General features: G+C 42.8%; 1 protein-coding gene across 11 annotated transcripts in view, besides 2 other annotated features; it reads left to right on the top strand.

Annotated features, from left to right (window-relative positions):
• EIF4E3 (eukaryotic translation initiation factor 4E family member 3) overlaps positions 1-14,861 on the top strand; it is a 95,411-nt gene that overhangs the window by 37,952 nt on the left and 42,598 nt on the right. For 9 of the 11 annotated variants that reach the window (XM_047448061.1, XM_047448060.1, NM_173359.5 and 6 more), the window contains one exon: positions 6,338-6,410. In XM_047448061.1, coding sequence (XP_047304017.1) covers positions 6,338-6,410 — 73 coding nt within the window. Of the gene's footprint in view, positions 1-4,842; positions 4,965-6,337; positions 6,411-14,861 lie in introns of all 11 variants that reach the window. The other 2 variants (XM_047448063.1, XM_047448062.1) reach the window with 1 other exon arrangement.
• Positions 5,825-5,874: an enhancer, noted in NCBI's record as "active region_20064". NCBI's record gives its function as "activates an Ori minimal core promoter by ATAC-STARR-seq in GM12878 lymphoblastoid cells {active_cell/tissue: GM12878}" and the evidence as "EXISTENCE:reporter gene assay evidence [ECO:0000049][PMID:35858748]".
• Positions 12,465-13,046: an enhancer, noted in NCBI's record as "OCT4-NANOG-H3K27ac hESC enhancer chr3:71752927-71753508 (GRCh37/hg19 assembly coordinates)". NCBI's record gives its function as "activates a minimal SCP1, AML or CMV promoter by ChIP-STARR-seq in naive H9 embryonic stem cells {active_cell/tissue: H9 hESC(naive)}" and the evidence as "EXISTENCE:reporter gene assay evidence [ECO:0000049][PMID:30033119]".

Below are 14,861 nucleotides of genomic sequence, written 5' to 3'. Positions count from 1 at the left end.
TGGTCATGCAGGAGCTGTTTAGTTTGGGCTAATGACTAAGGGCATGGTTGTCAGGTAACCTTTGGTTCAAGTCCCAGATCTGCCACTAACCAATGGTGTATGTTTGGGCAAGTTACCTTACCACCTTCAGATTTAGTTTGCTTATCTTTAAAGTGGGGTTGCAACTATTATTTACCTAAGGTGTTTTAATCAGGATAAAAGGAGATCATGTATGCATGTACAACATGATATGTGGTCTTTTCAATTATTGGGGGCCCAGCATTTCTGGAATAAGAAAAAGGATAAAATGGGCCGGGCACGGTGGCTCATGCCTGTAATCCCAGCACTTTGGGAGGCTGAGGCAGGTGGATCACGAGGTCAGGAGATCGAGACCATCCTGGCTAACACGGTGAAACCCCGTCTCTACTAAAAATACAAAAAAATTAGCTGGGCGTGGTGGCGGGTGCTTGTAGTCCCAGCTACTTGGGAGGCTGAGGCAGGAGAATGGCGTGAACCCGGGAGGCGGAGCTTGCAGTGAGTCGAGATTGCGCCACTGCGCTCCAGCTTGGGCAACAGAGCGAGACTCCGTCTCCAAAAAAAAAAAGGATAAAATGCTTTCAAGCACTTCACTTCTTCCGGAATCATGTTATTTATATTACATTTGGGGGTATTTTTTTTGCCAGGGATTCTAGTGGCATCTAGCGCTTTCCTGCACCTCCACCTCTGTGCTTTGCCAGCAGTGTGGCTAGATATATGGTGGGGAGGCAAGATTGACAGGCAGAAACAGTAGGTGGGCCCACGGAGGGATATGACACAAGATGTGCTATGGGACACCTATGCTGACAATGACTGCTCAGTTATTACTGGGAGTCAGCCTAGTTTAAGGGGAAGGTCATGGGCCTCAGAGCCAGATAGACCAGGAGAAGAACCCAGACCTGCTACTTAAAAACAAGTTCACTGAGCCTCAGTTTCCTAATCTGTGAAGTGGGGATAATGAAACCAGCCTGACAGGATTGCTGTAGGAATTAGAGATAATATGTGCAAAACCCTTTCATATAATACATGGTTAATAAAAGGGAGCCATTATTACATTAATATTATTAAAGAGGAAACTCCTGGTGGAACTATTGAAATTCTTTAACCTGATCCATCCAGGGGCATTTATTGTTCCATTGCTGTGTTCTCAGCTCCAGCTGTATACCGTGGGAGGGCGGCATGTGATTCAGAAAATTCCGAACCAGGGTCCTGATTCCTGGGTTCTGTGATTTTCCACAGCTCTGCCTGTATCTTCTACTAGGAATGGTCATTATCAGCATGTATGTTCCTCCCTCAGCTTTCTTTCCCACCTCCTCCCTTCCGGGAGAATTAAAAAATGATATGAACATTGTTTCTTTGTCTTTGGGAGCCTGGGGAATTCCGAGAGAGGAGGGATGCTGGTTCTAAAACATAAACTCTATGGGAAAAGGCCTTTTTCTAGAATGATCACCATTGTATCCCCAGTGGCCACAGAAGGTGTGCTAAAACATTTTTGTTGATTAAATAAATTTTAAAGCCCCTGAGACTATTTGTTAAACATTGCCAGGAGGGTTTCTTTGCATGGGCACCATGGACATTCTGGCCAGGGCAAATTCTCTGTTGTGAGGGCTGTCCCGTGCACTGTAGGATGTTCAGCAGCACCGTTGGCTTCTACCCACCACATGCCAGTAGCACCTCCTCGGTTATGACAACCAAAAATGTCTTCAGATATTGCCAAGTCTCTTCTGGGGTGCAACATCACTCTCAGATGAGCACCCCTGGACTGTGGAGACAGGGTTTGGACTAGGGTTCTGCTGGGGAAGGAAGGTTTATAACATGAATGAAAGGAAAAGATTTTTAAAGCTAAGACAATATACTGTATGTGTGATACCAGTAAAAATGTTTCCTTCTTTGACATCCATTACAGACATTTACCTTCAGTTGCTACAAATGTCTACTCAGGTGACAGGGAAGAGAGGTGTGGCTGCCGGCTGCCCAGGCTTCAGTGTTGCCATGAACAGCTTGCACTGCTACTTTAAGAAACAGTAACCGTAGATGATACAGCTGCAGTTCAATTTTGAATCAGCAAGTCCAGTACAGACTGACCTGTTTACAGGGCAGATCATTTAAAAATCTCAGGTTATTTGCTCTTTTGAAATTGATTCTATGGATACGGCCCAATTTTGCTTGGTAAACAAGTATGAAGTTCGGGCATGAGGTTTGGGCACATTGGTGTTTTTCAGTGACTGTTGGAATCACATTTGGCTCACAAAAGGACGCCATGCCTTCCTCTGGCCCGCCAAGTATTTACTACCATCAGTACTTCCGACATCACTATTTTGTTACTTTGAAGCCTGAATATTCAGAAAGGTGCCCATCAGCTGGAAAGAATCTTTAAGATCACAGAATCACCCTCCTCCATGAAGAAATTAGGAAACTGAGTTTCTATGAAGCCTGACATATCTCCTTTCTTTTTGTCCTTCCTTTTTCTCTTTCTTTCTTTCTTTCCTTTCCTTTCTTTCGTTCCTTCCTTCCTTCCTTCCTTCCTTCCTTCTTTCCTTCCTTCCTTCCTTCCTTCCTTCCTTTCCTTCTTCCCTTCTTTCTTTCTTTTTTTTGAGATGGAGTTTTGCTCTTGTTGCCCAGGCTGGAGTGCAGTGGCGCAATCTCGGCTCACTGCAACCTCCGCCTCCCAGGTTCAAACGATTCTCCTGCCTCAGACTCCTGAGTAGCTGGGATTACAGGCATACACCACCACGTCCAGCTATTTTTTTGTATTTTTAGTAGAGCCTGGATTTCATCATTTTGGCCAGGCTGGTCTCGAACACCTGACCTCAGGTGATCCAACTGCCTCGGCCTCCCAGAGTGCAGAGATTACAGGTGTGAACCACTGTGCCCAGCCCATATCTCCTTTAAAATCCCAATACATCAGTATCATCAGGTGTTAGACTGTTAAAATAGAGCTCTTGTTGAGTGTAACCCTTTTGGTTTTTGTGAAGATCTTCCCTACCCTATCCATTGGAAAGACTATTTTAATATTGTTTCTTCTCAGAATATTATATGAATACAATCTTGTATTAAAAATGGTGTTCAGGCCTCGAGGTGATGGCTCACTCCTGTAATACCAGTACTTTGGGAGGCTAAAGCAGTGGGATCACTTAAGGCCAAGAGTTTGAGACCAGCCTGGGCAACATAGTAAGACCCTCCCTCTACAAAAAATACAAAAATTAGCTGGCTGTGGTGACATGCACCTGTAGTCCCAGCTACTTGGAAGGCTGAGGCAGAAGGATTGCTTGAGCCCAGGAGGTCGAGAATACAGTGAGCTATGATTATGCCACTGCACTCCAGCCTGGGCAACAGAGTGAGACCTTTTCCCAAAAACAAACAAACAAAAAAATTGGGATTCAGCAAAAATGGTGGACTTGATGAAAACATACCAAGAGAATCAACTGTAAAACTCCACTTAAAAAAGGCAAGTGTGTATATGGCTTGAATGGGCAGCTCAGCAGTGAGGGATGAAGAGCAGGAAATCACAAATGGGTCACCTGTATTCAAATCACATATTTGTGGCTATGGGCAAGTTCCCAAACCTCTCTAAGTACCAGCCTGCTCACCTGTAATGGTGATAAATAATATTGACAGCTGCATAAATAGGATTGCAGGGATTCAGTGCTTCAACGGAGGTCAGAGGCTCAGCACACTAGCAAGAATTCGGCACTTACATGTTAGTCACTGACACTGGTGTGTTACACTAATAAGTACTTCCTAGTTGTTATTTTATTCTAGAGTCCTTTTAGGGCCTCTGGAAACGTGATTTCTTCAAAAAACCTGGATAATGAAACTGAGGGGACCTATGTAACTTGGTACAATTATCTCCTGCACTGGAATACAAGTAAAGACCAGACTGTGGAGACGGAGGCATTTAAAAAGAACCATATATAGCAAATTTTCATCAGTGCTTTTTTTTTTTTTTTTTTTGGTCTAGGTTAAATGGTATTATCCTCACATTGTGTTTGCTTAAAATTGACATAATACTGTATGAAGCAAACATTTGCATTATACTCATTATAAACCTTTCAAATTGAAGTGAACTTTAAAAATTAGTTAAAAAAATTTTTTTGAAATACAGTTTTTTGAATGAAAAAAGAATGCAAAGTATATTTCCTCCCTTTGAGCCCTAGAATCTCCCCCGCCCACCCCCCGCAACACACACACATAGGGAAGAAGCCCTGTATATACTCTCCTATGTGCTTTGGGGGATCCAGGAATGTATTTACTGGGCATATGTAGTAGAGCAGTCAGATAAAGGAAGAAAAGTCATATTTTAATGTTAAAGTGATAGATTTTTCATGCTAACAGTCTATTCAGAAAAAGTTTAAGAGTTTTGAAGTTTTTTTCCCCTGATTTAAAAAATAATTAAAGCTGAAAAAGATATAAAACCTACATTAAATAGCCAACTTAGTATCTATCCAAGTTGATACTTTAGTAACTATAGCCCAGTCAATCCACGTGGACTGATGTATTTCATCAGGGGCCCAGGTATGAACTGTCATTAGCAAGGTATTGATTGAGTACTTCATTCTTTGCCACACTCTTTGACATAGTTATTTTAGGCTTAAAGTCTGACAACAACAAAATGCAGTCATGGTGTTTAATGTGGATTTGCTTTTCTAAAACAATGTCCAGCAAATCGAGTTGTAAATTCAGTGCTTTACAGTAGATTTCTTTATTGGACTGCACCTGCCCAGTGGAAGTCCCGTGTTTTCCCCCAAACTAGTCCGTGATTGTGCTTCTTTAGTGACCTTCTGATAAGGAAGCGGTATTCAGAATTGCATTTTTTGTTTTTTTCAGACAGAGTCTCGCTCTGTCACCCGGGCTGGAGTACAGTGGCCCGACCTCGGTGCACTGCAACCTCCATCTCCTGTGTTCAAGCGATTCTCGTGTCTCAGCCTCCCCAGTAGCTGGGACTGCAGGTGAGCACCACCACTCCCGGCTTATTTTTGTATTAATAATTTTAGTAGAGGTGGGTTTTCACCATGTTGGCCATGCTGGTCTCAAACTCCTGTCCTCAAGTGATTTACCTGCCTCAGCCTCCCAGAGTAATTGGATTACAGTCATGAGCCACAGCGGCTGGCCAGAAATGCATTTTTGATATTCAGGTTCAACTCTTAGGGAGCATTCACTGGTTCATAGTTCAAGGACTGTAGTCCTTGCTGTGCTTACCCCAACCTGGGCATGGGCCTTTGGCATTGCCTCCACCTCTGAGCTCATGTGAGTTTTGTCTCTAGTGTGCAGTGTTTTAGCAACTGTCCAGGAAGTACAACATACTGAGAGTCCTTGGGGGCAACGTCTCTGGGATCAGTTTCTGGTAAAGAGCATTGCTTTTATAGATTCCAGATCCTAGTGGGTCAGCTGTGATTGAGGTGCTTTCTCCTCTCAGCAAGCTTCTTATTTCTCACCAACAACCAGATGTGGGCTTTCATGCATTATTTGTGTGATGAAACATAATCTTAGGCTGATATAATTGTACCCCAACATTTTTGAGCATGAACTGCTAATTCAATATAGAGAGAAAGAAAAGGTGGCAGGAATTGAGAGTCTTGAACTCCTAAGGTTTGATGGGACAGGTCATTTTACCATCCCAGGCAATGGTCCTTGGTAAAACCAGTTAAATTGCAGTGTTTCTGGTGACTAAACCTGTAGTATGTTGCCATCTAGTGGAACACATAGCAAACTAAAGATTAATGCAGTCTGACCATAAAGTTCAGCTGAGCTAATTAAATCAGCCAGAGAAAAGAACTGAAAGTATTTTCTAAAAGCAAGTGTTTTGGTAACAGCAAATTCATATGAAACCAGAGTTGACTTTTTTTAAAGTAGGCAAATGGTCACTCTGTTTCTCAAGAGTGCTTGAATATTTGCCACCCAGTTACTAACAAGTTTGCAAACATATCACCAGGCCAGGACACTGCATTTTCGTTGTCGTCTGTACAATAGGCAGTTTCTCATCTAAAGTCCTGGAGAAAATGCTTGGTTATCAGTAGGTTATTTTGGTATGTTTTAAAATGTGATTTTCAGGTGTCCATTCCCTTTCTTATTAATACATACTTATCTTTTTTTTTCTGTTAAGTTTCCAAGAATAAATCTGCTGATTTTTAGAAGAAGCCAACACATGACTTCACAAAGTAGGGATTTCACATTTTAAATTCCAACTAGCATCCCCAAAATGTCCAGTCCTGTGGTTTGAGACCTGATTTTTAGGAAGACGTGAAAGATTCTACTGTGGGCTGTTTTGTGAGCACTGACTGCTTGTTTTGTTTGTGTCTTTGTCCTGCTCCTGCTTGCCTAGATCCCTCCCTGGTGCCACAGCAGCTGAGTGCGCATCAAATCTGAAGAAAATCTACACAGTACAGACAGTACAGGTAAGATCAAGAGAGGGACTAACTGGATTAACACGGCACACGTCAGACACCTAATCACCCAACTTGAAATCTGTTGCTGTGCTGGCAGCCCCTGTCCAGGGTTCTGCTCTGGAGTTGGCTCTCGGGTCCAGGTTGGCACAGCTGCCCTTGACCAAGTCTGCTCCAGGGCCAGCTGAGCACACAGTCAGGTGGCCTGCTCTTCTCTTGGCCACCTGCTGAACCTTTATCTACTACCTAAACCTTTCATAGACCCGCACAAAAGGCAGACTGCAGTGTGGTTAAGAGCGAAGGTTTTTCAAGATCTTTATCTGTGTTCCTGTTCAAACTCCAGCTCTGCCAGTGCCTCTCTGTGCCTCTGTTCCCCATCAGTGAGAGGCAGTGGCGCCTTCCCTGCAGGGTTACTAAAGGTTTAGAGGTCACATGGGGAGAGCAGGATAGTGTGGAGCGTGAAGGTGGAGAGTCTCTGCTTGGTTTCCTACTTCACTTCGCAATTCCATCATCCTAAATTAGGCATGGATCAACCCCTTTCATCTCTGTAAAACTGGTCTAATGGTAGCACCTACCTCCATGGGTTACTGTGAAGATTGAATAAGATTATGTTTATGCCATGCTTAGTGGAATACCTAATACATAGCAGATTCTCAATGAATGCAGGCTCTTAGTTCTATTAGTTCTTTCTCTATCTAACTCTGATGGTGGAGTTGGAAAAACACAACTGAAAAAACACAACTGGCCAGGCGTAGTGGCTCACACCTGAAATCCCAGGAGTTTGGGAGGCTAAGGTGGGAGGATTGCTTGAGCCTAGGAGTTCCAGAGCAGCCTGGGCAACATAGACCCCCATCTCTACAAACAGTTTCCTTAAAAATTAACTGGGCATGGTGGCACACATCTGTGGTCCCAGCTACTTGGGAGGCTGAGGTACAATGATCACTTGAGCCCAGGATTTCAACACTGCAGTGAGCTGTGTTCACACTACTGCACTCCAGCCTGGGCAACAGAGCAAGACCTTGTCTCAAAAAAGAAAAAACCTGATTGATTTAATTGATCCCATTTCTATTTTCTTCAATAGCAGGTTCTACCCAGTTTCTCCTGTCTTCTAGTTTAGCGGGCTGGTGCAGGTAGAGAATAAGGCTATTGTGGCTGCTTCAGAGTTGCATTGACCATATGTCCATAAATTTTCTAGAAGGGAGAGATTTTAAATAGCTTTCCTGTTGTATCCCTAAATCTTTTAATGTCTTAGAAATTCCAATAGATCTGCATCTAGATTGTGTCTCTTAGGCAGCCTCTTACATGCAGAAGTAGCACAGAGATCCATTTTTTTTTTAGGCTATGGTCCCAGTATCTGGTTCAAAAAATGTGGCATGCATAATTATGAAGTCCCAGGAATCTGATTGTAAGGTGCTGCGTGTGGCTACCAAGGGCAGTGAGCTGGGTGTGAAGACACAGTCCTGACTGTGGGCCATTTCTGGTGTCGTTGGGGAAATGACATAAGCTTGTGGGAAGCAGAGCAGCAGTGCTGCTGTGCAGTGCCAAGTACAGACAGCACCTCAAGGCAGCACCACTGTCCAGAGAAATCAACGCGCTAAGAGTCTGGGAGGCCTCCCTGCACGTCTCTTCTGTGGATTTAGGGACTTCTGTTACCATTTCCCAGCGGCCATTTTTTAATCCTCAGAGCACTTGATTTGAAGGCCTGTCCTCATGTAAAGGCTCTCAGAGTCTCATTAGACTTTTCCCAACCCACATGACATTAGATCATCAGGGTTATGCAAGGGGTTCTGGGGCTGACACTAGTCAGATGAGGGGATTGGCTTGGTTTTCCTGACCCCACGAGATAACCCAGGGTATTTGGTAGAGCCCCTGAATCCACAGCATTTTAGGGTCTTCAGGGAGCAATTTAAAGCACCCAGGCAGGCACATACTAGGAAATACTTCCTTTAAAACTACTTTATTGGGATATAATTTGTATACAGTAAATGTAGATTTCTTAAGTATAACTTTTGACAAGGGTACGCACATACAACCATCACGCAGATCAAGAAGAAAAAAGTTTCCCTTACACCAGAAAGTGTCTTCGTGCCCCTGCCAGCCTCCATCCCCCAAAGCAACCACTATTCTCATTTCTACCACATTACATTCATTCTGTTACTGAATTTTATATTGATGGAATAATACAGTACTATATTATTGTGTCTGGTCCTTTGCACTCAATGAATATTGAAGGATTGAATGAATGAATGAGGCCGAGCATGGTGACTCTTGCCTGTAATCCCCGCACTTTGGGAGGCCAAGGTGGGCGGATCACTTGAGGTCAGGAGTTCAAGATGAGCCTGAGCAACAAGGTGAAACTCTGTCTCTACTAAAAATACAAAAATTAGCCTGGAGTGGTGGTGGGCACTTACTGGGGAGGCTGAGGCAGGAGAATTGCTTTAACCCGGGAAGTGGAGGTTGCAGTGAGCTGAGATTGCACTGCCCTCCAGCCTGGGTGACAGAGTGAGACTCTGTCTCTCTCACACACACACTCTCAAAAAAAAAAAAAAAAAGAATGAATTAGAAGTTAATAAATGAACCACTTTCCTGAGTCACAACAGACTGCTCCCGTAAGAATTCTGTGGGCTGCACATTCTCAGTGGGGGCCAAAGTTGATTCTTGCAGGGGAAGTAGATCAGTGAACAAATCTCATTCTTTTTACGTACAAAGCATAGATGTCCATGCAGTCCATAAACATACGGTGTCTCTGTGGTATTAAAATTTCGTCATAGGTGATTAGGAAAAAGGGTTCTTTTAGGGCCTAAGGGGGGAACAGTGAAAAAAATGGCTGATAAACACTGCCCTAAGGATCAGGAAATTCCTTTCTGTCTCAGCTGTCTCTGCTCCCTCAGTTTCTCATCTGTAAAACTGAGGTAGTAATAGTGCCTACTCGCTAAGGTAGAGTGAAAGTTAGATGAGATGGTATATAGTTCTTAGTAATGCTTGGCACTTAGCCCTCAGATGTGGCCAGCTTTTACTTAAGTGTTACTGGATTCTACCCCTCAGCTCCATCAGTTACCTGGCTAGGGTGTGGGCTAGGGTTGTCACAATGCCTTGGTTGATGTCCCATATGTGACACTTACTAGCTTGGACAAGTTATATAACCTGTCTGAATCTCAGTTTACTCATCTGTAAGATGGAAATAATTGTGATGGTAATTTTATCATGCTGTTATGAGACTTAAATGATACAATGAGGTAAAAAGCCATAGTAAGTACCCAATCATCTGCCATAATTTGTCTACTTCTACTGAGATATCTTTTCGTGCTTTCTTCAGTCATGTTTTATATCAGGAAACTATATACCACTGCTTCTAGATTATTTATTTCAAGTGATTATACTCTGGATCGCACCACCACTAACACAGAGGTGTATGTAAAGATATTTAACTTATCAATAACTTTTGAGTTTTCAGCCTGCGAGTGTCCATAACAGCTGATAAATTGTCCTTAGTATTTAAGAACTGGCCAGGATACTATCTTGTAAGTAATTTGAGGATATGCTTTTGTCCCACTGTCTTTTTATTTTATTCTAGGATTGTATATTAATTTTTTTTTCTTCAGAAACAGGGTCTCACTTTGTCACCCAGGCAGGAGTGCAGTGGTGCTATTATAGCTCACTGCAGCCTCAAACTCCTGGTCTCAAGAGATCCTCCCACCCCAGCCTCCTCCCAAGTATCTGGGACTATAGCCATGTGCTACCACACCCAGCTAAATTATTTTATTTTTTTTGTAGAGATGGGGTCTTGCTATGTTGCTCAGGCTAGTCTCGAATTTCTGACCTCAAGCTGTGTTCCCTCCTTGACCTCCCAAAGTGCTCAGATTACAGGCATGAACCACTTTGGCCTGTACGTTGATCCTTTTACTCTCACTCCATTAGCACTAAAAAAAACTGCTTCTCCAATTATGTCTGTGTTTTCCTCCCATATGTGTTTAGATGAAAGGTAAAAATCATGTGATATTAATGATTGTCTTATTAAAGACATATGAGTCTTTTTATACTTTGAGGCCCTTTAGCAAATCAAAGTAGATGGTTTGGGAGAGGAATCGTTACCCCGTCTATTAGTTGAGGAGACTGAGGCTGGAGGTAAGAGGCCCAAACATTCCATGATTGGAAAGAGCCAGTCATGCCTTGCCTCTAGGACTAGAATTCCCTCCCAGTCCAATTCTCTTTCTTTTACTCCCCGTGATTGAGGAGTGGAGGAGACTCAGCCTCCAAAGGACCTGGGAACCCCTGCTGAGGACACTTTCATCACACCTAACAATAATTCTCTCTGCCTGGAGTTAAATTCATTTCTACTTTCCTAACTTTCTTGGAAAATTCCATTTTACATCTAGGCGTATTTTCCAGATGCTTATTGATTCTCTTACTCCTTTGTGAACCTGTCCAAATTTTCCACATTTCTCTTGTGATTTTGCATCCTCAGTGGTTGCAGTGCAGAATAGAAAATGGCTTTTAGCCGGGTGCATTGGCTCATGCCTGTGATCTCAGCTACTCAGGAAGCTGAGGTGGGAGGATTGCGTGAGCCCAAGAGTTCGAGTTCAGCCTGGGAAACATGGCAAGACCCACATCTCTGGGAGAAAAAAAAATAGAACACGGCTTTTGAACAAGCCCTGTTTTACCTGTTGGAGAATGAAGAGCTACCTGCCATTTGTGATTTGCAAGAGAAGTCTCCCTTCTCCAGTTTCTTTCAGCCTTATCTGCTACAAGACTAAAAATTCCACCCCTGAAAACTCATTCCTGTACAGCACTCTGTCTCGAACATCAGTTATTTGGTGTATCGCCTTAAAGATTTTGCCACACCTATCTCACTTGTGGTACATTCTACCCAGTATTTCTTATAACTTGACTTCTTATTTAAATTTGCATAAAACAGAAACCATATTTCCTCTATAAGTGGAAATTCAGCATCGTTTATCATAAGCAGAAAGTCTTCCTAAAGAGTATATATAACCTATTGAAATTAAGAAAATGTTTCCCCTGCATATGCCAAACCTATCCTGTGTGCTGTCGATAATATCAAGACTTCATATCCGCAGGTCAAGCCGCCTGACTGGAGTTGTGCAGTTAAGTTAGGGCAGCAGATTGCTTTCCAAACCCTTGGGAAATGAGGGCTCTTCCTTCAGAAGAAGAGGTTTTCTAGGTCAGTATTGATCATGGAGGATGGTGGAAAGATTGATTCCAAGTACTTGCTGCCCTGGACACAGCAAGACAGCCCATGGTGTGTGGTGTCCTGCAATAGAATGACCTGGAGTGAACCACTTGGCTGAAGGGAGGGGCCTGAGGGGAGAGAGGAGGAAAGCCAACACTGAAAAGAGAAAGAGAAGGACCTGCAGCCAGGTCCACTTCATAGTTCTGTCTAGCACAGACTTTGCATCCAGTATAACAAGATTCTTTATCCATCATTTAGTTTATTCATTATATGCATAATAGGATCAACATCTATAGCTACAATCCAGTTATGAAGAAATATAACTGAAGTTAAATTGCTTGTATTCCTCCACATTCTCAGTGGAGGCTGTTGTGTCTGTGTATTGGGTGGGGTGAGACTTGACCTTGTTAATTAAAAGTAATTTAGTCACTTCAACTGTGAAACTGGGTCTCTTCTAATTTAAATCTCTTTTGGGAAAAATGACCACCCTCTTCTCCTTCTCCATATGAACAGGCATATGCAGAAATACCCCTGACCCCTCCTGACCTTGGGCCATGCCCACCACCTTTGGCCCTGCTGTAACCTCATGTTATGAAGACCCCTGCTATGTACACACACATCCAGACCCCAGGCCCTGTTGTCCTTAGGCTTTCTAGCAATTTCAAGCTCCAGATTGGAGATTTAGGAAATGTTGGCTGCCTTCCCCCGACCCCACCAGAATGAGGGGAACTCTATAAGGTTGTGGCAGGCCCTCCCGGCCAGAATAACCCCTCCTGCCTTCACAGCTGTTCTCAGACCTGACCGCCATGTTGCTCAGCGCTGTAGGAATGAGGGCCTTTTCTGGGAGTCTTGGAGCCTCTTGGGCTGTACCAGGAAGCAGGTTCCACACTCCTCTGGTCTAGGCATCCCCAATCTTTGGGTGGGGCTCTCTCCCATCCTTTCAGGGTTTTAACCCCACTGTCCTCTCTCTCCAAGCTTTTAACTCCCCAACTCAGAGTTGGTTTTTACTAACTTTCTATGTGGTGGGAAATTACCCTCACATCCTGTCACATCTCGTTTACTCTATGATCACAACTCCACACTTGGGCTCTCTCTTTAAGCCAAGCCCTTTTTGGAATTCAAAGGAAAACCCATTTCTCTCTCAAGTACCTAGCTCTTGTAAATCAGAAGCACTTTGCTTTCAGCCTTTGTGTCTGCTGTGAGTTAAAAACATCCATTAAACTCTTCAGTTGCCTATTCGGTTCAGATGCCTATTGGCCCTGCCCATAAATACCACTTATTCAGTTGGTGGGAAGCCCCAGGCAACTAGTAATACCTAATGAGCAAAAATATTTGTTTTGTTTTTTTGGAAATACTCTCTTGCTACACATGCCACAACCTTGGAATAAATCCTGGAATTTTTTTTTTTTTTTTTTTTTTTTGATGTGTGTTTGCTGGGTGGTTTTGTTTCTGGTTTGTTTTACAAAACAGACATATCACTTTGTTGTCTGTCAACACATGACATCTTTTCTTCTGAAGAATTTCCAAGTGCATTCTTTTTCTTCAGAACATTTCAGTAGGAAATTGAGGAGGAAATTTGCCAGTTTTCTTGGTAATGAATGATTATCTATTTGGCAGAAGGCTGTAAGGTGGGGCATAGTTGCTCCAATCAGTGCTATCAGATTGGGGATTTATCAAGTGGTCAGCATATTAATGGGTCTAACCATACTTTGTTTCCTTCCTTAGGCCTAGCAAGTGCTTTCACTTTGCATTTCATCATTACATTTTCCAGTGAAATAGCTGTATCCTTATACAGAGGAGGCAACGTGGGTTTCACGGGCTACATGACCTGTGAAGGTTATGCTGAGAACCTAGGTCTTAAATCCAGGTATTAGACTCCACTGGACAGGTGTCTTCCCTGCCTCAGTTTCTCCAGGAGAGGTGCCAGATTGGTGTTCCAGAACATACCTCCCAAGGAGTGGATTGCTGTGGTCAAAAGCTGACCCTCCTGCATTCAGCTAAGTTCCCCAAGGACCCGTCACAGTGCTCTGTTCACAACTGATGGTCACAGATGTTGACTGAATGAATGATGTTCAACTTTTATACCTCTCCTAGTCTTAGGGTGATTATCAAGGCTTTTGGGAAAAAAAAGCATTTAACCATCATTAATAAACATTGTGCTTAGTTTTACTTTTACTGCAATCTTGGATTTGCAAGTCTAACAGAATTAATTATAAGCCTAAAGGCTTCTGAAATCTATTTGCAAGATTTTATATATAGTAAAATTTAAGTGTTTCCATTTTCAAGATGTGTTACAGAGAGTATAATCTTGAATTACCAGGCTTCCGCTGTAGCAGACCTTTCACTTCTGCAAGGGCGGAAGAGGTTTTCAGGAGCTGAGTAATGCTAGATTCCTTCCTGTAGGTATTTCACCAGCAGACATACTTCACAAATATTCTACCTATTGGATGAGGTTTGCAACAGGGAAACAGACCAGTTTAATGACACATGCTTTTCAAATAGGGCTTTTTTTTTTTTTTTTAATGGTGTGACCGGATATTTTGCTCCTATTTTATGCTCAGCAAAAACGTACAAATATGTGCTTTAATGAATATGTTAAGTCTATCACTGATCTTCTTGGGCTGTAATCTCTTCCTGTCAAATTTGCCAAGCCAAGCAGAATCAGTTGTCTGTTTTTGTTTTCAAGAGAAGCTTCTAAAGCTCCAATCCTTAGCATGATCTTTAGTGTTTTTCTGATCTTTGAAATGGAAGAAGTGTTTTGTTGTATTTTTTCAGTGTGCTTCAAGTACTAGGTTAAAAAGTCAAGATTTGACAACTTTGACCGGGGTATGACGGCAGGAACTTTGGTTTGTGATGCCTTTGAGGAGACTTGAAGTTTGCCAGCACCAAAGTCCTCTTAGTTTTACCTTAGGCAGGGGTTTTCCTCTTAATGTTATTTTGTGCATAAATTCTACAGAGGTCATTGCCACATCGTAACCAGGTTCTCAGGCTGGAGTTGACAACCACCAGCCTCTTGTGAATTATGGGCATTTTACTGGTGGGAAAATATCTTCAACATGTGTCCCTCTTTCTGTGGCTTCATGACCTGATTCTTGGCTGCTAAGATTGGAGAAAGATGTGTCAAAAACATATAGTAGTATCTTCGAAGAAAATAGCTGAGTGGTTAGGAACAGAGGTTTGGGAATCAAATTGCCTGGATTCAGATTCCAGCCCTGCCTACCCACCCTCACACCACAGAAACTGAAATATTGGAATAATCTTATTTGTACAAA

Source organism: Homo sapiens, chromosome 3 (genome assembly GCF_000001405.40).
Source record: "Homo sapiens chromosome 3, GRCh38.p14 Primary Assembly".
In the NCBI taxonomy this organism is placed as follows: Eukaryota; Metazoa; Chordata; class Mammalia; order Primates; family Hominidae; genus Homo; species Homo sapiens.
The sequence above is the reverse complement of the archived record's forward strand: the minus strand, read 5'-3'. Positions and strand labels throughout refer to the sequence as shown.